Source organism: Homo sapiens, chromosome 8 (assembly GCF_000001405.40).
Source record: "Homo sapiens chromosome 8, GRCh38.p14 Primary Assembly".
Taxonomy (NCBI): domain Eukaryota; kingdom Metazoa; phylum Chordata; class Mammalia; order Primates; family Hominidae; genus Homo; species Homo sapiens.
Window position 1 is genome coordinate 139,860,348 of NC_000008.11, and position 25,460 is coordinate 139,885,807.

At 50.4% G+C, this 25,460-nt stretch overlaps 1 protein-coding gene and 1 long non-coding RNA gene across 16 annotated transcripts in view, besides 2 other annotated features; one reads left to right on the forward strand and one right to left on the reverse strand.

Moving 5' to 3' along the window:
* The window catches only part of TRAPPC9 (trafficking protein particle complex subunit 9), a 730,855-nt gene that overhangs the window by 132,623 nt on the left and 572,772 nt on the right, over positions 1-25,460 (reverse strand). For 4 of the 15 annotated variants that reach the window (XM_047422294.1, XM_011517328.3, XM_047422297.1 and 1 more), the window contains one exon: positions 24,648-25,330. The exons of the other annotated variants lie outside the window; for them this stretch is intronic. In XM_047422294.1, the coding sequence (XP_047278250.1) occupies positions 25,293-25,330 (38 nt within the window). In that variant the 3' untranslated portion in view covers positions 24,648-25,292. Of the gene's footprint in view, positions 1-24,647; positions 25,331-25,460 lie in introns of those variants that run through there. 15 annotated transcript variants of the gene reach the window in all.
* Positions 885-11,114, forward strand: LOC107986981 (uncharacterized). Its single transcript, XR_001746115.2, has 2 exons — positions 885-5,182; positions 8,119-11,114. It is a non-coding gene; the product is annotated as an uncharacterized LOC107986981 (long non-coding RNA).
* Positions 2,873-3,846: an enhancer, noted in NCBI's record as "H3K4me1 hESC enhancer chr8:140875463-140876436 (GRCh37/hg19 assembly coordinates)". NCBI's record gives its function as "activates a minimal SCP1, AML or CMV promoter by ChIP-STARR-seq in primed H9 embryonic stem cells {active_cell/tissue: H9 hESC(primed)}" and the evidence as "EXISTENCE:reporter gene assay evidence [ECO:0000049][PMID:30033119]".
* Positions 13,667-14,249: an enhancer, noted in NCBI's record as "H3K4me1 hESC enhancer chr8:140886258-140886840 (GRCh37/hg19 assembly coordinates)". NCBI's record gives its function as "activates a minimal SCP1, AML or CMV promoter by ChIP-STARR-seq in naive H9 embryonic stem cells {active_cell/tissue: H9 hESC(naive)}" and the evidence as "EXISTENCE:reporter gene assay evidence [ECO:0000049][PMID:30033119]".

Here is a 25,460-nt window from a genome sequence, read left to right on the forward strand (position 1 = left end):
TCGGGAACAACCTCAGGGAGCCACTGGCCACTCCTGTGCAAGACCTTCTGCTGCCATCATAATTCTGTGCTACATGCATGATCATTTGGTGAATGAATGGCTGTTTCCGGGATAGTCACCCCCAATGCCAGGATCTAGGCCTCTGCTGTGTGTCACAGGATCCCCGGCCCCCAGCTCAAAGAGGCTCTGACAGTCCTCATGCATGCTCAGGTAATCCAACAAACCAGGCCTGGAGCTCAAGGCTGTCTGAAGCCCAAACCTGGCTCTTTCCACACTTCCTTCAGCACTTCCCCCCAGCTCATCCCTCCTGCACCCCAGTTCCTGGCCCAGAGCTGGGTCCATGGTCTATGGTCAGCAAACAAGTGCTAACCGAGTAAATCCCTCACTAAGCACAGACCAATGCCTGTCGCCGTCCGTGGGCCCTCACATGGAGGGCAGCCTCTCTCCCAGGTTCCTCGGGCCCAGTGGCAGATTCCTGCTGAGGGGCCTCCCAGCCCTGCACACCTCCAGGCTGTAAGCTCTGCACCCTCACCTTCACCACCTGGAAATAGCTGCTCCTTACCAGGCTACAGTCAACAAACACTACAGCCTGGAGAGCCTGGGAGCTGTGGCTGCCGGTGGAGCAGGCGTCTCACAGGCTGGCGCCTACCGGCTTTCTGGCACTTTCCCACAGCAGCCCTTCTATATTTTCTGTCAGGCGGCATATGCTGGCGGGAAGAACTGGGTTCCGTTTGTGCTTGTTAGAAATGCTTGTTCCCTGCTGCCGCAAAGAAATAGCACTCGAACATAAATGTAATTTTCTCAGCAAGGCAATTTTTACTTTCTGCAGAAAGGGTGCTCCTTGCAGATTAACAATGGTGAGAGCACACCTGGACAGGGGAGGGGAACGAGTTCTTATTCCTGATGCAGGTAGCCTCTACTGCTGTGTCATTCCCCTATTGGCTAGGGTTGGACTGCACAGTCTAAGCTAATTCCGATTGGCTACTTTAAAGAGAGCCGGGGTATGAGCCAGAGTGGTGGGGTGAGTAGTCTGGTGGGAAGGACACTTAGGAACAGGTAACTAAAGGTGACTTAGGTCAGAGCAGGTGACCAGGATGAGTCAGGATGGATTGGGTGACCAGGGGAACAGATGTGAACTACTGACTAGGACTGTTGGGAAAGTTGTTTACTGAAACTAGAAGCAAGGGGGCGAAGAGAACCAGGAAGTTAAACTTTAAAATGGAGAATCAAAGAATAAGAGAGCTGAACATACTGACGTATTGATTCTTTGAAAAGAAACTTGGGGTTCACTTATATTTAACATGCTCTGCACTTTTCCTTCTGCCCATTCTAGGCCACTGGAGAGGGGATGTGCTCTGGGGTGCTATGGAGCCCACAAATCGAGTGGTTTTGAACAGACCCCCTGAGTCTCCAAGCCTTGGTCTCCACATGGGAAAACGTGAAGACGCACTGTCTCCCCTGCCTGCCATGATCCAGTGCTGCATCACTCCATCCCCCACAAAAGCAGGGGTCTTCACCGAGAGCCTGGGGCCTCCCAGGTAGACCAAGGGTGAAATGGTCACCTCCCTGGAAAGGGGAAAGATGAAACTTTGTGTCCACGTGTTTTTATCATTCCATTCTCCAAAGAGCCTTGGACACAGATCAGCGAAGCACTACTTGCCTGTCTGAATGCAAGACCATCAGGTGCCTTTGCTAGGCAGATACAATGTGTACATTACCTGATTTCATCTCTCTGAAGCCATACACATTGGGACTCTGGTCCATTTTACAGATTCAGAAACAGGTTCTGTAAGGTCATGGTCACTGAGCAAAAACGGCTCTGCTGGGAGACACCGCCAGGGCACTTGGCCCCAGGGCCTCAGCTCTTCCTGGCCTGTGTTGCTTCACAAAAGGGCTGCTGCCTGTGTTTGCCCTGCCCCACCAGGTCTCTGCCTTTTCCACCATCAATGGGGACTTGTGAGCTTGTTTCTAGAGAAGGGGCTTGTCCTCTGGGAACACTGATGTCTCAGAGAGCAAAGGTTACTCAGCCGTGTTCTTCCAGCTGTTGGGCTGGCCCAGCCATCCAGTGACGGAGCACCAGCCTTGGGCCTTGGGGAGAGGATGTCAGCAAGAGCTGCCTGGGAAAGGTCAGGGGCTGTCTTTGAAGTTGCCTCATCAGGCTCAAGGTCAGCTTCAAAGGGGCCCAGAGGCGGGGACGCCTGTAAGGATCACTTCCTCTGTTGATTCCCAAGGAGAAGGAGTGATTTCCCCCAAACCTCTTAGTACCAAGGCCTAAACTGACCTACGTGTGCTACCAGACCTCTCTTCCTTCCTGGGACATTAAGTGTCTTAATCTCACTCTCCATGAAGCACCTGCTCTGTGCATACTCAGCAAGTCCTGGGCAAGTCCTAAGTAAGCCACAGAAAGGGAGGGGAAGCACGGTGAGGCCAGGGGCTCCCCAGGGTCACAGCGCCCTGGTCCGGCCCCACATGCACCAGGGCACTGCATTCCCCCTGGGTGCCGTGTCCTTCCCACAGCCTAGGTCATTGTACAGACATGTGTGCTCCGTGTGGCGCCACCTTTCGATCCGGTGGGTGGCCCTTGGGAGCCTCTCTAAATCTCCTGGCATGTGGCAGAGGCACAGGGATGCACAGCCCCTCCTCTGCCAGGAAGCTCCAGCACCTACACAGAGGGGAGGGCTCTGAGGCCAGGCTCTGCTCCCATCTCAGGAGACAGTTCCCAGACTACTGACAAAAGCTCATTTGGCGTGTCTTCTCCGGGAGAAAACACCACAGGAATTGGCTGCATTTTATGCAAAGTGGCAGAAGCCAGGAAGGCTACGGACTTTGCAGCCCCTCTCAGCTCTCGCTCAGGTGGGTCCTAGCATGGTGCCTGATGCACTAACCCCACAGGCGCGGTCCCTGTCTCCCCAGGACTCAGTGAGCAGGCCTGAGCCCCAGGAAGCCCAGGACTTGCAGAGACGGAAAGGGCCAAAGGACAGAGACCTGCCCGCTGCCCAGCTGCAGCACAGGGAGGAGGCACGGAGGGCCCAAAGAAGGGGTGCGCCTGGCCCCTACATGCTCTCCAGGCTGCCGGGGAGCACCTCTTTCCCCTGGCAGGACACTGCTTCCTCTGCTGGGGATGCTGCCCCAGGCCTGTGGTGAAATCCAGAGCGTGGAACCTTGAGCACTGTAACAGGTCAGGCTCGGGACCCGGGACTTGCGGGGTGAGGCCCTTTCTACTCGCAGATGGTGTGAGGTGCAGTACTACCCAGCAGGAGCACTGTTGCCCCTTGCCAGGCATGGCTCAGCAGGCGTTCCCTGAAGGGGCCTCCACTTCCCATCCAGAATCGCTGTTCCCGCCTCTGAGAAAGGCTGAGATGCTCAACACGTCAACGTGGGGAAGGCAGGGACAACCCCGAACATCACCCCACTCATCCCCACTGGCTGTGTCTGCAGCCTTGGCTTGAAGCTGCAGCTAAAAATAGATCTGCCACTGAGGGGCACGGGAGGGGATATGGAGCGGGCAAGGAGCAGCATTCACACCGGGCAGGCTGGAAAACAGAGTGCAGGTCTGAGGCTCTAGCTGACATCACCCAGGATGGCCAGAAAGCCCCACAGTTCCCAGCCAGGACTGGGACCAGAGAGCATCAAGGTGCTGGGGACAGCACCGCCCACCAGTGGGACCAATGCCTCCCTGCCCTGCTAAGCACCCAACATTCTGGCCCAGCTCCATCAGGCCACCACAAAGCCCCCCTCCCTCTCCTGCAGCCCGAGGCTAGTTCAAGGAGCCATTTATTCAGCTGGCGCCCAGGACTCTTTCCTGTGCTGTCCTTGGATGAGGCATCCAAGAAAAACAAGAGATTCCATTCACTGGTACAGTAAGTCCCAGCTGATCCACGTCCAAATAGCCCATTCAATTACTCTTATCTCTACCAACAACATATGTTTTCTCTTTCCACGTCCGTCCTTCAATGTGAGGGTTTGGAAAGGCTGCAAAATTCGGGGATATAAAAATTCCTGCAAGATGAAGGCGCCAGGGGTTAAATTTGTTTTTAATCTTAGAAGGAAACAATGGAAAACTGTAGAAAGACTGAAATCTCCATCACTTATTTTTAGCACGTCATATCTTTTGAAATTCATTTTCTCATTTAAGGGATGGAATACATCTGGGACACTGTGACATAGGCCTCGTCCTGTGGATGGCACCAGGCAGATGCTGATTCAAACGTCCACTCTGTGACTTCCTGGCTAGGGGACTGCAGAGCCCTAGCTTCCATCTCTGTAAATGACAGTAGCATACCTGCTCCACAGGCCTGCCGGGAGCAATGGACAGCGTCTGTAGAGCAGACAGCAGCATGCCGACCGCCAGCAAGCCCTGCAGGGCTGTGGGCACTACCGCCCTTCCCAGGGTCATTGTCCTGATCCTAGAGGTGAAGAAGTCTCAGCAAAAGAAAAGCGCTTGGACCCAGACTGGCTCATCTGCTGGGAACAAAGGTGTTTAATGCCAGCAGTTATTCACCTGCACCGATGTGGACACATCCCAGTCGAAAGCATCCTAAGATGAGGAGAATAAATATCACCAGGTCCAAGGGTGACGCCATGAGCTCCGCAGGAACCATGTCTGAACATTGCCCGGAAGCTCACGTGAAACTTTGGAACTAAGAATCCCACAGAGACCTGGGCTTGATTCACATCTGCACTCATTAGCACCGGTTCAAGCCAGCGGTCTACATTCTCTTGATTTTGCTGTGATTAGGTGGCGGCAGAGGAAAAACTCAAGGAGGCCCAGCAAAAGAAGCCATCATCACAACTAAGGCTGTCCCCATGGGGTCTGAAGAAAGCATTTCAGAAGGCTGCTCTCAGGGCAAGAGCCACAGGCATCTCTATAGACAGAGGTGGCTCTCCCACAGCAGAAGGAATCAGGTCCCATGTCCATGCGTTCTGGTCTGGCAGAAGACAGACTTTCTCCTCAACACGCCTGAGGACTCCTTGAGGAGACGGACTGTTTCTCTCTGATTCATTCATTCACAAAACAAGTATTTGTTGAAGGCTTACTATAGACCACTCATTCAACAAGCATTTACTTTGTACCCACTCTGTGTTGTGAGTTCATAGAGGGGGTGAAACAGACACAGATCATCAAAGGGGAGTGAGAAAGAGCCACCCCTGGGATGGGAGCAGAGAGAGGAGAAAGCAAAAGGTATGTTTGAGACCAGGCCACCGTTGACCTAGGCCGGGAAGAATGAGTAAGAGTGAATGGCAAGGAAAGCTATGGAGACACGGCAGGGAAGGGAATGTCACAGGAAAAGGCAGGGACCTAAGGTCAGAGGCCACCCCTTCCCTCCCCAAACAACTCAGCCTGAAGCCATGGGGTCCCAAGAGAACCCAGTTGGTCCAGGGAGGGGGAGGAAGGTATCCGCACAGCAGAGCTGCCCCGTGTGTGAGCCACCTGTTGACCCAAAGAGTCAAACTCTGTAAAATCTTTAAAGAGATTGATTCTGAGCCAAGTATGAGTGACCATGGCTCGTGACACAGCCCTCAGGAGGTCCTGAGAACATGTGCCCGAGGTGGTCGGGGTGCAGCTTGGTTTTATACATTTTAGGGAAGCCTGAGACATCAATCAAATACATTTAAGAAATACATCGGTTCGGTCCAAAAAGGCATGACAATTCCAAAGGGGTGGGGACATGGGGGGCCTTCCAGGCTATAGGTAAATGTAAACATTTTCTGGTTGACAATTGGTTGAGTTTGGCTAAAGACCTGGGATCAAAGGAATGTCAGGTTAGCATAAGAGGTTGTGGAGACCAAAGTCTTATCATGCTGATGAAGCTTTTAGCTAGCGGGCTTCAGAGACAACAGGTTGCAAAATGTTCCTTATCAGACCTAAATGTGTTGATGTTAATGCTGGGGAGGTATAATGAGGAATATTCCACCCCCACGTCCCATGATGGCCTGAACCTGTCTCTCAGGTTCAATTTTAAGAGCCCTGGCTGAGGAGGAAGTCCATTCAGATGGTCAGGGGGCCTTAGAACTTTATTTTTGGTTGATGCACCCCGTGTGAGATACCAGAGCCCATCCAGGGTAGGAGGGCATCCACACAGTGGGGAGGCCTGGCCTGGGTGCCAGAGCAGGAGTGAGAGGGGAAGGCAGGAACCTGTGGGATCTCTGGGCTGGGTCCCCTTGGTGACCCGTTGAGAGCCTAGGAGTGTGGGAAGGGCTGGGATGGAGATGGCAGATTGGTTACATACAGGAAGACCGATAAGTTACAGATTACAGTAAAGATAATGAAAGCCGACCTCTCCATGCTGAGGACATGAGGTACCAGTAAGGAAAAGGGACAAACCATAAGGAACTGTGCAGTGGTGGATTGGGATTAGTGGTGTCAGTGTGGGCCAGTGACTGTTAAGGTGGACAGACAGAAAGAGATGTTGAGGCTGTGTGTGTGTGTGTGTCTATTTCTATTCATATGTATATGTCTATTTCCCAGCTCCATCCTCTGAGAATGCTTGGGAACAGCAACATCCCAATATGAATGACACCCCACCCTGCCAAAGTATGGATCTTGGTTGGTGTGGGATCACTGCAATCTCCACCTCTCAGGGTCAAGTGATTCTCTTGCCTCTGCCTCCTGAGTAGCTGGGATTATAAGCACCCACCACCACAGCTGGCTAGTTTTTGTATTTTTAGTAGAGATGGGGTTTCACCATATTGGCCAGGCTGGTCTTGAACTCTAACCTCAAGTGATCCGCCCGCCTTGGCCTCCCAAAATGCTGGGATTACAGGCATGAGCCACTGCACCTGGCCTCTAAATATCAATTTTCATTAGAGGGAATCAAGACTCCTGTGAGAAATGAGTGATATCAGGGCTTATGTTTGAGATGAACCTGGAATATCTTGTGCCAGAAAATAAGTGTGTGCTCAAAGAATAATGATGCAGACAGGTCAAGAGACACAGAAGACAGCCTGAAGGAGCACCCAGAGGTCAAATCAGGATAATCTGGGTATCGAAATAACTAATAATAGCAATGAATTTTAACCCAATGAATAAAATTGAAAATGATGAATCCATACAAATATAAATAAGCACATTTAAAGGTCTGATGAAGAATCGGATATCCATGATGAGGAATCGGATATCCACACAGTTTCAAAGCACCTTCCCGCAAGATACTTAGTAACAACAAAGAGACAAGGAGTAGCTTTACAGTAGAGGGAAGCAAACACCATCTTAATCAAATGGTGAAATAACCATCACCGGCAATGGTACAACTAGAGATTGTGGGCCACCTGATAGACACAAAGAGAAGGACTCAGCCTCACTTTTGTGACATTCCTGCCAAAAATGTTCAAAACTGAATCTAATCATGAGGACACATCACATACACCAAAAGTGAGAACATTCTACAGAATCGCTGATTGGTAATATCTTAAAGTGTCAAGGTGATGGAAGTCAAAGAAAGATGGACGAACTGTTCCAGGCTGAAGGAGACTAAATGTATATAACAGCTCAACGCAGCAAATGATTCTGCATGAGACCCAAATCTTAAATATAAAGGACACTACTGGGATAGCTGGAAAAACTGGAATGGGATCTCGGCATGAGATCATCATATATCAATATTCATTTCCTGATTTTGATGACTGTATTGTGGTTATACAAGAGAATGTCCTTGTTCGTAGGAAATACACATTAATAATTTGGAGGTGTTTGGGGCATCAGATCAACCACATATTCTAAAATGGTTCAGGCTGGGAGCAGTGGTTCATGCCTGTAATCCCAGCACTTTGGGAGGCCGAGGCAGGTGGATCGCCAGAGGTCAGGAGTTCAAGACCAGCCTGGCCTACATGGTGAAACCCTGTTTCTACTAGAGATACAAAAATTAGCCAGGTGTGGTGGTGGACACCTGTAATCCCAGCTACTTGGAAAGCTGAGGCAGAATTGCCTGAACCCAGGAGGCGGAGGCTGCAGTGAGCCAAGATTGCGCCACTGCACTCCAGCCTGGGCAACAGAGCGAGACTCCATCTCAAAAATAAATAAATAAATAAAATGTTCAGGAAAAGAAAATTCTTACTACCATACTTGCAGCTTTTCTGCAAGTTTGTGCATGATATTATTTCCTTTCTTTCCTCTTAAAGGAGCGTGCTGCAGTGGAATACGTGGTTGGAAGTCAGCAGACCAAGGCTTGAAATCCAGATGGAGGCCACTAGCTCATCATTATGATTTTGGGAAATATAAATATATTGGGAAAAACGTGAATTTTGAAACCACAGTAACTGTGTTCTGGTCCTTGCTTTGCAGACTGAATGACAACCTCACATACGCTTTGTTCTCTCCCCTAAAGCGTAGTAATAACACTACCTACTCTGGAGATTGTTGTAAAGTCTGTATTATTAACTTCTTCATCAAATATTTATTGCGCATGTAATAGATGCTCTAAGGACAGTTCTAAGCTCTGAGAATACACTGACAACAAATCCGTCCTGCATGGAGCTTATATTCTAATGAGGGTAGAGAGACAAACAAGAAACAAATCTGTGATATGACTAAATATCAGAGTATTATAACAATTGTGCAGAAAAATTAAGCAACTCAGACCTTGGAAGGAAGGAGTGGTAGGTCAGACAGAAGATGTAGAAGGAAAGTTTAAAAAGAAAGAGGAAGAAAATTATCACACAGAACAAAACCAAGAAAAAGCAGATCACAAAAGTATATAGAAAAATTACAAACACAAAAAGCCAACAGAATGTATGACATAACCAAGACCAAACATTTATACCACAGCAATGCATATAAATGGCCTAAACTCACTTATGAATTAAAAAGACTTTGAAGTTGGATCAGAAAGCAAAACTCAATGCTTCATCCAAGAGAACCACATAAAAATGTGATTCTCAAAGGTTTAAATTCAAATGATAGGCAAAAGTATACCAGCCAAACAAAAAGAAGGCAGGGGTGGTAGTTATAATATCAAAGAGGGATGAAATAAGGGCAAAAAACATGAAAGGAGACAGAGAAGGGCATCTTAAATAATAAAGGGGACAGCCAAAGGACAACAGTTATGAGCATCTGTGTGCCACAGGCCATCAGCATTCACACTGCAGGTATCATGGGACACACACATGTCACATCAATACAAGATCACTCATGGTGCAATGGACCCACATGAGCATTAGTTGTGATTCACCTCTCAAACCCCATGGTAGATCAAATAAGAAAGGATCTTAAAGAACTACCCCGTATCATTAATAAAGTAGAGCTAATTGATACATTTTCAACTCAATACACTTAAAACAAGGAACATAACTTGTTTAAAAATGTCCATGGCATAGTTACAAAAATCTTAGCACAAAGAAAACTTGGTAAATTGTAAGTGGTAAAAATAGTATTGAACTGATAATACCATTATATTAGAAAGCAATAACAAAAGAAGAAAACAAAACAAAGTAATTACCATAGGAAGTTTTTTTAAAAACTATCTTTTAACTCTCGGGACAGAAGTGAAATATAAATTAATTGCAGAATGCCTAAAACATATCAAACATTAAAACATTAAATTCTAGAACATGGAAAAGAGTAGAAACAGGGACCACCGGAAAATTCATATCCTTAAATAACTGTATTTATAATAGGAAATTTTAAATGAATTAAATATGCAACCCACAGGTAGATATTTAGAAAGGCAAAAAGGCATTGAGGGAGGACTATCTATAGCAGATATTAAAATATACTGTACTGTAAAGCTAGAACGACTACAAGGGTGGTGCTCACTCCTGGGTACACGGACAGAAGAGAGTCCAACAATTTCCCTAAATATATGAGAAAAGTGATTGGGAAAAGATAGATTATTGATTAAATGACTTGGGGCCAATTAGGTGGCTTTTTAGAAAAACAAAGGGAGGACCCATGCCGCACTCACCTTAGTATATTCCAGATAAATAAAAGGTTTGAATATTAAAGCAAATGAGACCATGAACGTACCAGGAGAAAACATGGGAGAATGTTTTAAAAATGTAATCCAAATGAAGCAGGTCTTTTAAAGCATGGTTCCAACACAGAAGATATTTTTTAAGAGATTGCTCCATTTGAAAGGAATATCATACAGTGCGACTCACTCTGGTGAGGAATGACATATTTCACGAGGATATTTGTTGCCATCATGCTTATAACAGCAAAACATTAGAAACAACCTACGTCCATCAAAAGGTACAGAGTAAATAAAGGAGGATGCATCTGATGCATAGGTTCAAAAGAATGCACCAGCTCCACAGGATGGAGATGGAAACATACCCGAGATCTACCATTAAGTGAAAAAATAAAAATAAACAAACATGGTAGAACAGCTGTCACAGGACACCATTAAGGAAAAGAAATTTACAGACTATGTCTGCAGACACAACCAGAAATGGGACAACAGCAGCCCATGGGGAGAGGATCAGGGTTAAGGAGAAGGAGACTTGTACATCCTTTCTTACCTCCTAAATTCTGAAGTATGTTTGTGCATATTTTTTCTTTGCAACATAAATAAAGCAAATAAACACTTAGTGCACTGGCTTGCAGGGGCTACCATGCAGTGGGAGAAAGGCTTTCCACTGATATTCTGAGGCTTTCCCTTGGAAGTGGGGAGTGGGGCAGTGCTGGGAGGCGGGCCGTCTCTCTTCGCTCCCACACTTACTCGCTGGTGGTCATGAAATCAGCTTTATGATTTTCAAGTTCCCTCTCTGTAAAACAAGGGTGGTTTTATGTATCTGATGAGGTTGTGTGAGGACTGTGTGACATGAGTGAATTTAAATGCCAGCAAAGTCCCTGCAGTAGAGGCTTCTCAATAAAGGTAGTTATGCTGATTACAAGTGAGAGTCCGCCAGCTGAGAGGTGCCTTCGCTCTGTGGCTGAGTTTTGTTATAACCCGGACACCTGGGCCCACCTTGGGTAGGCATAGGGCATGCTATGTTGAGTCCATTTTTATTAGCTCTTGGCTTATTAGGATTAATAACCTGCTACTTGCCACTCTATGGAGATTTCAGACTTCTTTCCTTAGCTTGTTTTCAGAACCTGACAGCTGCACTCACATCACCCTTTCCTCAGCACCTGCAGGCATTTATACTGTGTCTCTCATTTCCTGCTGGAGGGTCTGCCCCAGCCCCGCGAGCCAGAAGGCACTAGGAGCACACCAGTTGGCCTAATGCCACACTGAGGAGGACTATTAGAACCTTATATTTCCTGGAATCTGAATCAAATGATGAAAGGCATGGCCCCATGTCCCATTCCCCCACAGGAATAGACGACTGCAGAAATTACCCTTCCAAAAAAAGATGTCTCTTAAAGAAAGCAGCAGGCAGCTAGAGGAGGAGGAGTAAGAGCTGAGGTACCCCAGAGGCAGCCCCCCTGAGTCTAGCACAGACTGGCACCAAAGGTGTTCAATAGCAATTTGCTGGATGGGTGAATATGTGGGTGAATGGACGAATATGTGGGTGGGTAGGTGGGTGGATGGACTGATGAGCGGATAGGTGGGTGAATGGATCAATGGGTAGGTAGATGAATGAGTTAGTGGGTGGCTGGATGAATGGATGGGTGAGTGGGAGCAGACAGATGGTGGTCAGATGAATGAGTTGATGGATGGGTAGATAGGCTGGTGGATAAGCTGGTGGATGGGCTTGTGGATAAATGAGTGGGCTGGTAGATGGGTTGGTGGGTAAATGGTTGGATAAGTGGATGGATGGATGGATGAGTGGGCTGGTAGATGGGTTGGTGGGTAAATGGTTGGATGAGTGGATGGATGGATGGATGGATGGGTGGGCTGGTGGATGGGCTGGTGGGTAAATGGTTGGATGAGTGGATGGATGGATGAGTGGGCTGGTAGACGGGTTGGTGAGTAAATGGTTGGATGGATCAGTGGGCCAGTGGATGGGTTGGTGTGTAAATGGTTGGATGAGTGGATGGATGGATGGATGGATGGATGGGCGGGCTGGTAGATGGGTTGGTGGGTAAATGGTTGGATGAGTGGATGGATAGATGCGTAGGCTGGTGGATGGGTTGATGGGTAAATGGTTGGATAAGTGGGTGGATGGATGGATGGATGGATGGATGGATGGATGGATGGGCTGGTGGATGGGTTGGTGGGTAGACGGTTGCATAAGTGGATGGACGGATGGGTGGGCTGGTGGATGGGTTGATGGGTAAATGGTTGGATAAGTGGGTGGATGGATGGATGGATGGATGGACGGATGGATGGGCTGGTGGATGGGTTGGTGGGTAGACGGTTGCATAAGTGGATGGACGGATGGGTGGGCTGGTGGACGGGTTGATGGGTAAATGGTTGGATAAGTGGATGGATGGATGGGTGGGCTGGTGGATGGGTTGGTGGGTAGACAGTTGGATAAGTGGATGGATGGATGGGTGGGTGGATGGATGGATGGGTGGATGGATGGATGGGTGGGTGGGTGGGTGGGTGGATGGATGGATGGATGGATGGATGGATGGATGGGTGGGTGGATGGGTGGGTGGGTGGGTGGATGGATGGATGGATGGATGGATGGATGGATGGGTGGGTGGGTGGGTGGGTGGGTGGGTGGATGGATGGATGGATGGATGGATGGATGGATGGGTGGGTTGGTGGATGGGTTGGTGGGTAAATGGTTGGTTTGGTGGATAAATGAGTGGGCTGGTAGATGGGTTGGTGGGTAAATGGTTGGATGAGTAGATGGATGGATGGGTGGGTGGGCTGGTAGATGGGTTGGTGGGTAAATAGTTGGATGGATGAGTGGGTTGGTGGGTAGATGGTTGGATAGGTGGGTGGGTAGGTGGCAGGGATGGGGAATGGATGCTTGGAGGATAAAAGTAAGCGAATGAAAGTCTAGAATAGTGCTTCAAGACCAGTCTTGACGTTACTGCTGATTTGTCTGGGAACGCTGGGTCAGTCCATCAGCATCTCCCAGCCTCATTTTCCTCATGGATAGAAAGAGGATGCCAACACATTGATCACTGATAGGTGATCATATTATTCATCATAAAAGGATAACAGTAATAAGTGAACACTCACAAGTGCATCAGCTGGACCCTTCCCAGCATCCTGGTTTGGGCAGAACTGTCCCTTTCTCCCCAGCACCTTCCCCCACCCCTCCATCAGGCTGTGAGTGAGTGCCGGGGGTAAGCCAACTGCTCCCTGCACTTGCTCTCCCTCAGTGCCATGCCCTGCTCAGGAGGATCCAGGAAGCCAGGCAGAGCACCTCCTCTCATCTGCCTGGACACAGTCACTGTTTCCAAGGAGCTCACAGTCTTGGGAAGAGGACAGACAAATGGCCAAGTAAATGGGAGGGGGTGTCATGCAGGAGCAGACAAGGGTGATGAAGGCCTCCTGCAGTGAGAGTTACTTCAGGTGGAAGCAGCCAGGGGCTGGGAGGACAATTCGTTCCACTTGGCTTCTGTTCTCGGCCATATTCCTGTCCTTTGTACTGGAGTTTTCTCCAGAGACCTGGCTCAGAAAGATGTAGCCCTGGCTCTAGGATCAGAACCCCTAGTCCACCTCTGGCCTCCGGAAACAAACACCAGCCCAGCCACCATGGTGCCACATTCTGTGCTGGCTCTGGGGTTAGTACCTCCCTCTCCCAGGACTGGAGCGCACATCCTCTCAAACTGGCTGCTGCCTTGCCGAGGATCCAGACTGACCCACAGTCAGGCCGTTCTTCTCGGCAGGAGCATGGGTCAGTCAACCACCCTGAAGGCCAGGCTGGCCACAGGCACGCACGCTGCACCAGTAAGGCTGCTCTGGGAATGGATCCTTGGGAACTGACCAGGGCTGTCGTAAGGCAGATGCCAGGAATACGTGCCTTAGAGTTATAAATGGAAAAATGAAACATTAATAAGCGATAATAAGGGACTGTCTCAGTGCATCTGGGCACATCAACATGGAACTATTTAAATCATGTGGAAGAATGACATCTACGCCTAGGCTCAAATCTGGCCTTGGACCGATAGGAGGAGGATGGCCTCATTCACTCTTTGATGGAGTCAGCAAACCCTTACTGAGCACCCGCAGGTGCTGAGGATGCTGCTGCATTCTCAGGCACCCACCAGCAGCGGAAGACACAGCCCGCAGACAGTACAACCTTAAGGAGAAAGACACCATGCTGGGGGTGGGGAAACGCGCAGGCGGAAATGCAGCTGGGCCCAGGCGAGGCACAAACGTGTGGGGCCAGGGAGGCCAAGGCAGGCTGCCTACAAGAACCTGAGTTAGAAGGAAAGGGCTGGATAAGCCTATGGGAGGCAGCAGGTATGAAGGCCTGGGGGGAGCATGGCTCACAGGGACAAGCAACTGCAGCTGAGGAAGCCTGGAGCCCAGGTCACAGGGAAGATAGACAGGCCCAGGGAAGGGAGGCAAGGATGAAGAAGGCGCTGTGGGCAGTGGGGGGCCTTCTGAGCCAAAGGCCAGGCTTGGGAGTCCATCCTCAGGGCTCTGTAGCCATGAGAATTCTCCAGGTAGGAGAACAACAAGCATGGCCACAGGTGGAAGATCGCCCTGAGCGCCGTGGGAAAGACAAGTCCCACACGCGCATAACCGGGGGCAGGGACAGCAGCTATGGGACCAGTCACAAAGCCTCTCCACCCACCGGTTTCTTCCAAAAGCAGACAGTGCTTACCCCACTGGGGCATTGGGAGGAACAGATGAGGGGACGCTGGAAGTTACGCCTTCCTGAAAGGCGCAGTAGGTGCTCCACAAACACTTTTTCTTTTGGGGATCAAGATCACAATTAAGCAGGCTCCCAAATGGTATTTCAAACAGAGATGTCTGCAGCTAAATAGAAGATTGAGGAGTGAAGGTAGACAGGACGGGGGAAGAAGAGAGAGGAGGGAGAGGAGAGAGACAAGGCAGCAGGCAGGGTGGGGACAGGCCCTGCATCCAGGCTGCCTGGGTTCAGATGGGATGAGGTGGCCCTGGGGCTGCCACATTCCAGGTTTCCTTTCTCCCGTCCACATGAGGGATGTCGTAGCAACCTCCTCCAGGGTTGCCACAGGGACGCAGAAAGGAGACTGCGCCTGAAACACAGCAGCCATGTCCACAGATGGAACACTGGGGGCCTGTGAACAGAGGCCTCTCCAAATGGGGGATTAGGAGCTGGGGCTTTTCCTCTGAATATAGGTTGTTTTCATTTTTTTTCCCCCTTCAAAAAGAAGGTAACTACTTTTGTAAAGAAAAACAAACGATCCTCTTTGTCAACCCATGCCCAGGGATGCCAACTGGGCCATGCGACAGCCTTCGCCCCCCACACCCACTGCCGGGCAAGCTGGGCCTCAGGCCAGTTGCCACAAGCCGTCATGGTCCCCAGGAAGTGGCTCTCAACTCAGGCCGACCAGGCTCTCAGAGTCACCAAAACCACCCAATTCACCATCGTGGTCTCCAGGAAGTGGCTCTCAGCTCAGGCAGACCAGGCCCTCAGAGTCAACAAAACCACCCAGTTCACCTGCCCCAGTGGGCGGAGGCTCCTCCACAGGCCTCAGAAGTACTGACTAACACTGGCCTGGAGCAGATGTTTGGAGATGTGGGCTGTGCTGGAAAAATCCACTGCTGGTGCTGTTGCTAAGCTACCTGGGAAGGAGGCAGAGGGCCGGTGGGCAAGCCCAGCTGCCAGGGTGGCCTGGGGCACCCACTGCCACCATCGGTGCGGCTGTCCTACTGTCCGGCTAGTGGGAGCCGGCTTTCTCACTCCCTTTTCCAGGCAGTCTGAGCTCTGAATGTATTCAGCAACTCGTAGCAGCCATTCTACATGAATTTCATGTTAGAAATAAACAAAGCTCCCCACATGATGTCCATGTTACACAATTTGATGAAAGGGCACGTTCTCGCTGTAGGGACATGTCTCTCTGCAAAGCCCCAGAAAGCACCAGGACGCAGCTCAGCCTCAGAGGCACCAGGCAGAGCACTGGCTGCTGGCACCGTGGGCTCCAGACTCCTGAACGGAGCTGGCTCAGGGCAGAAGGTGCTGTTCAGATGGAAGCAGCAACACCCAGACACCATGGGATCCACAGCCTGCTCCAGGTGGTCTGTCCTCGGGGAGGCCCATGGGTTCTGAGCCACATCCTCATGCGTACCGGGACTCCTTCCCAGGAAGGCGGCAGCTGGGGGTCAGGCTCTAGTCTGTCTCTCGCCTCTGCTTCCGGGACATCTGCACAAGCTCTGAGGCCAGCAAATACCAGGATCTGTGTAAACAACCTGCTGACTGATCTGGAACCCCAGCCCTCATCTGACAGAGAGTGGCTCTAAGGCAGGGATTGAGTTTATTTTTGGGTCCCCAGCACTGAGGACAGTGCCTGGTGCAGAGTAGTGATCAACAGATGTTTATTGAATGAATGGATGGATCAATCAATCAATCAACATCCTCCATGCAACCTTAGGCCCCCAGCCTCACCTCCCTCTCCTTACCAGCCCACCCATCTTCCCTGTGGTTCCAGGCTCCAACAACAGCAATCATTTGTCCCCACGAACCATGTCCAGCCCCACCTCACTCTTCTAGGCCTTTGTATCTGCTGTCCGCTATACTCTCCTAGTCATGAAGAGTTTGGACCTTGAGCCATGCTCCCCAAATGTGAGAGCACCACATCTCCTCCAAGATAAGGCAGAGGACTGTCTCGCACACAAGCTATCAGGTGGCTGCTCTGCCTCCCAGGCTGGTGTTGCCCTCGTTCCCACATGTGCAGCCTTCACATCACAGCTCAGAACTGGAGCTCACGGTGGGATTTGCTTGGTGATTAGTTGGAGAATGTGTACTGAAAATATCCACTCCATAATGTGGATAAAACCTAATCTGTATTCACTGGATGTCTATGAAAGACAGCACAGACCAATCATTGATGCATCTGAGAAAATACAAAGAGCTATAAAGAGGAAAGTGTTAGCAGTGGAAGAGGCAGGCGGAGGGTGGCACAGTCGTGGGACACTCAAATCCGCATGGCAAATGCCTAGCCCCATTAGTCACCATGACCGGGTCTCTATGGAAACGCCTGGAAGATGGTCCTCAAAATAGACAGTCAGGGAGCATGCTGGGTTTCTGCAGCAGGCACAGAAAGGTCCAGCCCTACCTCCTGCTCTTCCCACCTGGAGGATGGGAGCAGCACACCCTTTCCAGGACTGTTCATGGGCTGAGACGGAGGGGTCTCGGGAGCTCCAGCCCGATGTGCAGATTCGGGGTCCAGTTGTGAGCATGGCCCTGCTCCTGGCCCAGCCCTGCCCTCTGCCTCCTGCCTTGCCATCAGACCCTCTGCAGCAGGAACACACTCACTCCGGGATTCAGGCCCCAGAAGCAGGGAGATTCTGGTGGTCCCCCACTGCCCGTAGTCTGGCATCAGCACCCACAGCACAGCCCCCAAAGATCACACCCGCCTCTGTGAGCCTGAGGAACATGCTCTCTGCTGGGCTCCAAGCCTGAGGAACATGAGGAACATGCTCTCTGCTGGGCTCCTGGGGGTTTCTTCAAACCTCCACTAAGTATCTTCACTTTACAAGAGGGAAACCCAAGTTCACAGGACTTGACCATCAGCTGAAGTCAAGACTCACCACGAGGGTGCAGCGGAGGCTGTGCCGAGACCCCAGTTGGCTCAGCGCTGACTCCTTGCCAGTCCGAGCCACGCAACTGCTGTCATCATCACACAATAAAGTTGACAGCTTTGCTCTCTGCCAAGATCCCATAAAATATTAATAACTTCTGAGAATCCACGCTGAGGGAATCGCCCCAAAACACAGAAAAGGCTCTAGAAAAAGCCACTACATGTAACTTTTATAATAGCAAACATTCTGAAGCAATCTAAATGTTCAACAATAGAACAAGTATTAAATTATCTTGTATTCATTTGATAAAGTATAGTTCAGCCCTTAACAATATGTGCGAGACATGTTTATAACATGGGAAATGCTTATACTTTTGTCAAGCGTAAAAAGGGACACAGAAGTATAAATACAGTAGGATCATCCCTATGGACAAAATTAGAATTGGAAAGTAGCAAAAAGACTTGGGAATGCACAAAAATGAATTAGAGGTTGTTTTGGGGATAGGGAAAGGCTGTTTTTTTATCTATGTTTTCTGATTGTCTCTCATCTTCTACCATGAGAATATATTCCTTTCATGAAGTGATCTAGCCGGAGGTTGAGATTCTGGTGGAAGGAACTCATATTTGAACCTGGGGGCTGTTCCCTCCCAGCTGTGCAGTGCTGGGGGAGACCAGCTGTGCTGAGCTCAAGTTCTTCCTCTACATGGGAGAACCTCAGGCTTCAGGGCTGTGGCAGGGCTCGGAAATAACAACCTAAAGACCTCACGCCTGGCCCAGCAGGTGAGCTGTCCTGCAAAACAGTTGCTTTGAAATTAGAGGCTGGGCCTGCTAGCTTGCACCTGAACTCCCAGCACTTTGGGAGGCCAAAGCAGAAGGAACGCTTGAGGCCGGGAGTTCAAGACCAGCCTGGGCAACATAGGGAGACCCCATCTCTACAAAAATTAACAAATACAAATAACAAATACAAAAATTAGCTGCGTGTGGTTGAAGCGAGAGGATCGCTGAGCCCAGGAGGTCAAGAATGCAGTGAGCTATGATTGCACCACTGCATTCCAGCCTGAGCGATAAGCAGGAGCCTGTCTCAAAACTATGTACAAATTCAAAAATTCAAGAAGAAACTTTTCCTTTTTGAACTGAATTAGTGAGCCTGCTCCAAGTCAGAGAAAGAATCAGTCAGGCCAGGCCAAAGCTGGGGATACTGAGTCTGCCAGGGAACGAGGGCCCAGCCCGGCATGGCGGCCTACGGGTGTGATAGAAACTCCCACAGGCCATGGGGGCTTCTAGGGAGCTGCAGCCTTAGTTCATCCTTGGAGGGGACTCTGGAAGAATGGTGAGGGGAGCCCAGGTCATGGGGGGTGGGGCGCAGGGAACACGGCAGCCCCAAAGCCCTGGCTGGGGGTGAGGAGTGGGTGGGTCCGAGACCTGGATTCCACTGCGCGGGATGGGAGGGGAGCTTCCTGGGCTGTGTCCCTGGATGTGGACCCTGCACCACACGTGCTCCCAGTGGGCCTGAAGGCAGGTGCAGGACGTGGTCATAGTGAGGGGCAGACAAAACTCACCCTCTTCTCATGCACCACCACACCGTGGCTGGCTAACTAAGGTCTGAACTCTCCACCTGTCCCTGCCCAGATGGTAAACTCAACCCATCCCTCTAACCTAACTGAGAGCTCCCTCCTCCACAACACCATCCCAGCCCCTTCCCTTCAGAGCCATCTCCCCTCCTCCCAAATGCCCTCTGCCTGCAGGATCAGGCTGCTCCGGCCCCCGCAGGCTCTCCCCAGGCCTCCCCTGTGTTGGCCCTGCTGTCCTACACCAGGCACCTCCTCTCCTAGCCTGGAGTTCCTCGAGGGAATGAAGAGAGAGAAGACAGAGAAAGAAACCAGGGAGATTTTAAATGCTCGATTTGTGAGCACTGGTTACATGGCAAGGAATTATTTGTGTTAGCTTGTTTCATTCTCCCAACATCCCTGCAAGGTGGGTGAGTCACAACACTTCACAGAGAACCAGAGCTCAGAGCATAAGTAACTGCTCAGGGCACTCGGCCAACTTGGCAAAACACAGCAAACTTGAGACCAGAAGCAGGTCTGTGGGATTTGAAGCCAAGATCGTTCCATGGGGTCCGCGTCTGCTTGTTCCTCCACATCCCAAGGGCCTGAACTATAAGTCACAGGGCAAGGTGCCTGTTCTCCCTCTCTTTGTATATACACAGATATATAAATGTGTGATCCCAAACAATGCTCAAAGAGAAGACTCTGCTCAGAAATGGAAAACCCCCACATGGCTTCTTCGGGAAGAGATGCCATTCAACTCAGCTGAGGTCCCTGCAGGCTTTCACTGTGATCTTGCTGCAGTCAGGGACCAACCCAGGTGTGCAGGCGGCCGGCATAGCCATGGCTCCCAAGCAAAGCAAAGATGCCAAGGGCCTCTTAAGTGGCAGAATGCAGTAGGAGTGGAAATGGATACCCTGGTGGCCATGGCAAGACCCTTGCCCCACTGGGACTCACAGATCCAGCTGTAGCATTGGGGAGGGGGCTGGAGTCACCTTGACCCCTGCTACCCAGTTCAGCTCCCATGCCCTATGACTTGCAAAGTCTCAAGAATGTGCTGGGGTCCCGTTTAAGGTTTAAGGACTTGACCCAACCCAGACCCTCCCTGCACTCCCCACCCTCCTCACAGGGGAAGGCTGAGTGTCCTGTGCCCCCTTGGAAGATCACCTTGGAAATCCAAGTTCCAACAGTGCCCACGTCACAATCGAGAGTCACGTGCCCATGTGATGACTAAACATCTCAAGATCCCTAAAAAGGTTCATAGCCTTTGACCTAGCAGTAACTCTTAACTAGAAAACTTGTCTAGTCAGAAAATCGAATCAAAATGTATGTATTAACATGTTCACTGGAAACAGCAAGATATGATAATAGTGAGATAAACTGTGACACTGCAAACAGGAAAATATCATGCCCCATTTCTGGAAATGGTTCCACACTGTAGTGCTAGGCCCTGGCCTTGGCAGGTGCCGCCAGCGACTAAAAGCGCACCGCTGAGCTGCTCACTGCCGGGGCTCCCACAGGGACAGGCTCACCTCCTGAAGGCAGAAATGCCTTTCAGATCTTAGCATTGTTTCTTAAAAGCCATGCATTTTCTCCAGGATAAAGGGATTATATTCGCATTATTTGCCAACATGCCTCTGTGCCCACAACCGGCAACCCAAACACTATCAATTACCAAACAGAAAAAGCAAGCCTGGGGAAGAAACGACGTGGTGCTGCAGAAGGAGCCTCCTGCCCTCCCGAGGTTCCTCTGGTGGCCTCTGGCTGGAGAGACTGTCCACAGGCTCACTCCAGGAGTGGCAGCAGCTGGACTACCCCTCCCTGGGGAATTTGTTTCTTTTGCCTGATAGAATATATTAAGACAAGTTGAACCTCATTTTCACTAGTCTTTTTAGGGAATCCGAATTCCTTTAGATCCAGATGTATTTTCTGTTCAAACCTTAATAATTTAACAAAAATAGATCTGACTGCCAATTGGTTTGCTCAGCACTCATTTACAGAGCATCACATGTGGTAAGCGCCCCATCTCCTATCCACCCTTTATACCACCTGAGCTGCCTAACAACCTGCTGAAGCGGGAATTATGTCCTCCAAACTAGCAAATAGACCTGCTCTGGTCTCATGATGAAGTCACTCACCCACATCTGATGACTGTCCTCAGATGGCTGAAGTGCTGCGTCTCAAACCACCACCCTAACAAAGGCAAGGCTACCTTTCTTTAGTTATGAAAAAAAGAGCTGGCCTACCAACTGCTAACCATCTCTCTATGCCAGAAAAAAACAGCTGGCCTACCAACTGCTAACCATCTCTCTATGCCATGCAAACGAGACCTTAAAACCACCTTCTCAAATTCTCCAAGAACAGAGACAGAAAAAGATGGCAGCTCTTGGGCCAATTCCGACTCGCTGAAAGCAAGAAAAACATGTAACCACCTCTTAATGCCGTGGGCCACACTCCAGACCGCAGGGCCTCACCCCTCTCCTTACTGTCCCCCAGACTGAAGAGCTCCTGCCTGGGCCTCCCTCTGATGGTGGCCCCACCATGCATGGATGCCAGGAAGGGGGTCTATGCACTGCCCAGTCCCTGGGGTGGGCAAGGGGGTGGTGAGGATGAATGCCACAGATTCAAGGAGAGCCCCTTGTGAGTTTTCACACCAGGGCTTGGGTATATGGCTCCTAGAACTGGGTTGATCTTCCAGGAATAACAGAAATATCTGCATAAAAGACTCTGTAGCTTTTAAAACAGAAGTGATTATAATAAATCATTGCTTTGCAGGCGGTAGGGATTTATGGAGTGCCAGACACATTTACAAATGTCATTTCACTTTGATTCTGAGCCCCAGAGCAACGTGTGAGGTCGCCATGGGAGAGGTCCATGCCGCCCTGAGATGGGGAAATGGAGGCTCAGGGTGCCTCCCTGACGCAGCACGTGGCTGGACCGAAACATAAATCCAGGACCCCTGGCTCCACCAAAAGCCTCTACTACACCACAGAGGGGACTGAAGCACCATGAAGAAGGCCTTTGCGTTCAGACAAGAGTGCAGTGAATACCACGGCTCTTTTCTCTCACCCTGTCCCCCTACCTGTTCCCCCAGAGGCTGCAGTGAAACAAGGTCAACAACGTCAATGAAATGTCACCTCTCACCCTGCACTGAGCCCAGCTGTGGGGGCCAGTATGCATCTGCGCAGGCCTGGTCCCACCACTGGCCCACGTCATCTATGGGGAAAGGGAGTCAGCACAGGGGGTAGGAGGGTGGCGAGGAGACAGGTGCGGGTCTCAGAGGAAACAATAGTGCATGGTAGCAGGGGCTGCACTGAGCACATAATAGACATCATCTCATGTAATCCCTGGAGTAACTTATCCAGCAGGCATCATCCCATTCCATAAAGGAAGAAACTCAGGCTCAAAGAGGTGAAGTGATGTGCTGAAGGTCACATAGCTAACACATGATAGAGCTGGGATCTGAGTCCAGGGCTACCTGATCCTGAGAGGCCATGGAACCAAACTACATTTCCAAAAGAAATCCCTGAGCCCCCCTATGAAAAAAGGGTGCTACGGATTGAATGTCTCCTCCAAAACTCACGTTGAAACTTAATCCCCAGTGTGGCAGTGTTGGGAGCTGGAGCCTTTAATTGGTGATTGGGTCGTGAGGGCTCTGCCCTCATGAATGGATTAATCCATTCAAGGATTAATGTGTTGATGGATGACTGGGTTCTCATGGGTGGGAAAATGGTGACTTTATAAGAAAAGGAAGAGACACCTGAGCTAGCACATGAGTACGCTCAGCTCCCTCGCCATGTGATGCCCAGCACCACCTGAGCACTCTGCAGAGTCCCCAGCAGCAAGAGGGCCCTCGCCAGACATAGCTCCTTGACCTGGGACTTTGCAGCCTCTACAACTGTTAAGAAATACATTTCTTTATAAATTACCCAGTTTCAAGTATTCTGCTATAAGCAACAGAAAATGAACTAGTACAAAGAGGAAGAAAATCAGGGCAAGAAATGGAAGCAGCATGTAACACAGCAGGGGGCTGAGCCTAGCCTAGAGCCTTCACGCCTCCCGGCAGGCACCTCTGCCCACACAGGCGTGTGCAGCTTCCAGGCTGTTCTGTGCTGAGAGGCGTCCTGGGGCCAAACCAACTTCCTAGTCCTGGCTCTAATTGTCCACTGTTCTCTCTAATTTCCCCACTATTGTAAATTTTTAAAGGATGTTCTTAGTACACCCAGGGGAGAGGGCAAAATGAACAGAAAGGACCTTTATGATCATTAAGGACTAAAGCTTTTCTTCATCTGAAATTCCCAAATTGCCCAGGCTTCTTCCAGGCGCCCCACCAGTTTTCAGGCAGGACCGGGCTGAGGTTCATCCCTGGCTGGTAGAGGCCTGGTGGCCTGTAACGCAGTGCTCCCGGCTCTGCTCACTCTGGAGCCCCTGGGGCAAGTGCCAGCCTCTGAGCCTTAGTCTCCCTGTTTGTAAATGATGGAGAAAACCTCACTCACGGGACTGTGGTGAGGAGTGCGTGGCAGCTCTTATGCAAAATGCCTGGGACAGGAGATGCTCAACAATCCAATCTGACATGCTGCACCAGGGAGGCACCCTGAGCCTCCATTTCCCCATCTTAGGGCGGCATGGACCTCTCCCATGGCGACCTCACACATTGCTCTGAGGCTCAGAATCAAAGTGAATCGACATTTGTAAACGTGTCTGGCACACCATAAATCCCTCTTCTCTGTCCTGTGCCTCTCCAATTCCAGAACCCTCCCTACCCTTAGGGCCCACCTAGAACAGTGTCAAGGGCAGTTCGTGCCCTGGGAAGGGCATTGTTTCCAGACTGCAGGGACTTCTCCCCGCTCAGCCTTGTACCATCAGAACCTCTCCCCCAGGGCTCTGCTCCTGGGTGCCCCGTTGGTCACCTACCCAAACAAAGGCCCCCAAGCCATCTCAAAACCCTTACCTGGGGCTAGGGCTGCCGACCCTCAGACAGAAGGGAGGAGCCCACCTGCTGCCCACTTCCCCACCCCAAGTCACTCTGTTCTTTGCTCTTGGGCCCCTGTTCTGCCTGTGGCCCTCCCTTCGCTCATTTGCCCCATGAAAGTCCTGCATAGCTACCTGGTGGAATCTCCTCTGGCAACAGATAAAATACAGCTAATCCCCCTGGGCCTGACCCCATCTCACGGCCAGGGGGGCCCAGATGTCTTTCCCGGCTCAGCTATCTGAGTCTAGGGACACGGCTGACTGTGCTCAGGTCATCAGGAGATAGATAGGACATTCCCACCTAGAAAAGTGGCTGGGCTACAGGGAAGCCTCCAGAGAACCAAACTGTGAAACCCTCTGCAGAAACACCAAGCCTTTCCTTCCTGCCACTCAGGCTGGCTCAGAGAGGAGGAAGAGGCCACAGAAGGAGCCCGAGTGTAAAATGGAAACCCATAGCCGCCATGACGGTGCCCACCTGGTCCCGACAGCTTTCACCTGTGAGGAGCCAGGAGGCAGCCTCTGCAGGATCAGGGGGTCTCCAGGCTGAAGGGCGCTGGTGGAGTGCAAGGAGAAAGGCTTGTTTTCTCCTCACACCACTGGAATCATTTCCATGTGTCTCTAGCCCATGAAAGGGGCAGAACAAATTTATTAATGAACCGGATCCTGGATCAAAGAGGAGCTACTCATTCACAATGACCTCTTGGGTAAAGAAGAGGAAGAAAGGGGATATGTATGCTTGCAACTGACTGTCTGCAGGGGATCCAAAATAGATGAGCTGATTAAATAATTTCCAGATAATAAAGATTCTCACTTCAAAAGAAATGCTAAGCTTGTTTCTCAGCAAAATATTTTTGAGTTCAATGTAGAAAGGCACAGTGTAGGGTGGAAGTTCCCAGGTGCAACAAGAAGAAGCAGTCAAATAAACTGTGCTAAGTGTCCAGTAATGGCGTTCTCTTGGGGTTGAACACAACGTTGAGTTGAGGCATTTACAAACCAAACAATTTTCCACACAGACAGCATGAAAAGCTGTCCATGCATAGTCGTGGTGAGTGGGGTGAACGCAAGGGGTTCACCACACCCTGTTCTCTTTTGCCATCCCAAGCCACTCTCAGTTCTGGAAACAGTTGCAGAGCACACACCCCGCCAGACACAGTCAATTGCCATTTCGGAAGACGGCCCACTCTACACCAAGTGCAAGTCAAGATGTAGGCCAAGATCCGCCTGCTGCACCTGTTTCAACGGGCGATGAGCCCTTCTCATGTCTGCACTGTCACCGGAGTGCTGAGCTGCCCGCCTAGGTGAACAAAGATGACCTCACACAGAGGTGCTGGCGCAGTATGGTGAGCCCGTCTTTTTCCCCCAAGGTTTCCCGTGATGACCTTCAGTACCCACCAACATTTGGGGTGCCCAGCCACACCCCCCAA